The following is a 3107-nucleotide window of genomic DNA, read 5'->3' on the forward strand; positions in this document are numbered from 1 at the left end:
ATGATCAACTGATTTTGGGCAACCGTGCCAAGACCATTCACTAGGAAAAAAAAAAAATCCTTTCAATAAATGGTGATAGGGCCACTGCTTTGTACATGCTGAAGAATGATGTTGGGCTCCCTACCATACCTCATGTACAAATATTAATTCAAAAGAGATCCTAGACCATTACTCTTGTAGGTAAGTTTATTAGCTCTAACTAGAGTTAAAACTATAATCTTCTTAGAAGAAAACATAAGAGTAAAACTTTGTAATCTTGGTATAGGTAATTGTTTCTTAGTTATTTCACCATGTTAGACTTTATTAAAATTAAATACTTTTGTGGTTCAAAAGGCAACATTAAGTAAGTGACAAGACAACCCACAGAATGGGAGAGAACATTTGCAAATTATATATCTGAGAAGGTACCTGTATTCAGAATATATAGACTACTCTTAAATTGAATAATAAAAATGAAAATAAAACAATTTTAAAATGAGCGAAATATTGAATATTTCTCCACAGAAGATATGCAAATAAATGGTGGATAAGCCCATGAAAAGATACTCGACATCATTAGTCATTTTATCAGAGATACGCAAATCCAAACCATAATGAGATACCACTTCATACCTACTAGGTTGGCTTAAATTAAAAAAAAAAAAGACAAACAAATAGCAAGTGTTGGCAATAATGTGAAGAAACAGGAATTCTTGCACACTGCTTGTAGAATTTTAAGATGGTGAAGTCACATTAGGAAAGAGTCTAATATTTCTCAAAATGTTACAGGTAGCGTTACCGTATGACCTAGCAATTCCACTCCTGGGTAAATACCTAAGAGAAGTGAAATACATGTCCACACACAAACTTGTGTGTAAATGTTCATAGCAACATTATTCGTAGCAGCTACCAAGTGGAAACAACCAAAAGTCTGTCAACTGGATAATAGATAAACAAATGTGGTCTCTTCATATAATGCCATATTTTTCAGCCACAAGAAAGGAATGAAATATAACACATGCTATAACATAGATGAATCGTAAATACATTACGTTAATTGAAAGAAGCTATCATAAAAGATCCCAAGTTATATGATTCTATTGTCATAAAATGTCAAGAATAGACAAATCCATAGAGACAAAGTAGATGAGTGCTTTCCAGGAGCTGAGAGGAGAGGCAGTAGCTGCCAATGGATATGGAATTTATTTTCAGGGTAATAAAAATGTTCTCAAATTCTATCGTGGTGACTGTGCACCCCTCTATGAATACATTCAAACCTTTTGAATTACAACCTTCAAAGGAGTGATATTTATGGTGTGTGAATTATAAACAAATTATATTATAAATTGCATTATAAAAATGAAATTGGATCTTCATCATGATATAAATTATGTAAATAAAGAGTTGCATGTATGAATGAAGGAAACTTGCAGGAAACTGTGACTTTATCAATGGGGCTTATCAGGACCCGCTGCTTTGTTTTCCTCCATAAACCTATCACTGCCTGATGTACTGTGCATAGGAAAACCCAACCACGTTGAGATTCGGTACCTCCAGTTGTGTGAACTGCAGGATCACAGTATGTGAAGTTAATGGGATAATGGGGGATCCTGTACAGGCAGCTGTCTTGGTGTCTAGGAATCCAGCTGCACAATTCACATTCATTCTGGACCTTGTTAAAGTGTGACACCACTTGTCTATTTTGGCTTAAAGATCTTAAATATCAATGGGGATGATTCAGGACCCTGTGGTGTAGTAGTCAGGGTTCTCCAGAGAAACGGAAGAGAGAGAGGGAGAAAGGAAGAGAGAGAAGCAGGGAGGGAGAGATAGAGAGAGAGAGAAACTTATTACAATAAGATTTATTGTTAGAAATTGGCTCACACAATTATGGAGACCGGAAAGTCCCAAGATCTGCAGGGTGAGTCAGCAAGTGATCTAGGAGGCCTGATAGTACAGTTTCAGTCTAAAGCTGATTCCAAGACCCAGTGACAGCCAATGTCCCCATCCCAGTCTGAAGGCAGAAAATAAGACCATGTTGTTGTTTGAAGGTGGTCAGGTAGGGGAATTTCCTCCTGCTCGGGGGAGGGTCAGCCTCTTTTCTATTCAGGTCTTCAGCTGATTTGATGGACTCACCCGAGTTAGGCAGGGCAATCTCTTTATCCAGTCTCCTGATTTAAATGTTAATCTCCTCCAAAAACACCTTTACAGGAACACTTAGAATAATGTTTGACCATATATCTGGGCACCCCGTGGCCCAGTCAAGTTGACACATAAAATTAACTATGTGTGGTTACCTGGCTGGTGCTTCCAGCGCATGGGTTGTATTCCACGTATATGTTGGCATGCGTTTCAGTGACTCAATCTGAGGAGATCAGACCCAAATAATTCTGGGGATGCATAGGTACACCTTCTGTTCCCCCTCCTGGGTGGTTTGCCAATCATTTTCCCACCTGGCTCATCCATTTCTCCCTTCTTGTCCATTTCTCCATTTTTATGGAAGCTAAGAAATGCAGTCCACATCCATTTAAGAATGGAATCTGGGCAGGAAATGACAGCCAATTCCCAACCCCATTTGTTTTGTGCTATTATTGGATTTGCTATTGTGGAGTTTTACATATTTACCTGCATATTTGTTTGTATCTCTTTTCTTGCAGCATTTAAGTTCTGTGGGCCATGCTGCCACCCATCCCATGCTGCCCCACCCCCACCTATTATGTTGTTATGTTTCCCTTGCCAGGGGTAGCACATGGTACCATTTGTTGCTTAGTAATTTTTGAGTAAATACAATAAACTAAATTATATGTGGATAGTTTATTAATAAACTGCTTAGCTATGGTTAAGTTTTTGATTTCTGATGCAATCCATGTACTAGCTATGCCCTTCCTGCCACTACCTATGCTCCGCAGAGCATGCTAATATTGGCTTAAAGCCCAGTTCCATAACTCCAAGGAATCCAAGGCCTCCCCACGATGTCTATCCACTCCAGGGCTTGTTCTGTCCTCATTCACTGTCTTCTTGGTTCTTGAATCCAAAAGTGTTATCTGTCTTGACTCTCCCTATCCCTGATTCAACTCTCCCCTGGCACAGAAGAACTTCCAAGACTGGGGGCCATAAGGGTAGCACGTCCT

General features: G+C 38.9%; 1 annotated feature.

Annotated features, from left to right (window-relative positions):
* Positions 1839-1888: an enhancer, noted in NCBI's record as "active region_19275". NCBI's record gives its function as "activates an Ori minimal core promoter by ATAC-STARR-seq in GM12878 lymphoblastoid cells {active_cell/tissue: GM12878}" and the evidence as "EXISTENCE:reporter gene assay evidence [ECO:0000049][PMID:35858748]".

This window comes from Homo sapiens, chromosome 22 (assembly GCF_000001405.40).
Source record: "Homo sapiens chromosome 22, GRCh38.p14 Primary Assembly".
NCBI lineage: Eukaryota > Metazoa > Chordata > Mammalia > Primates > Hominidae > Homo > Homo sapiens.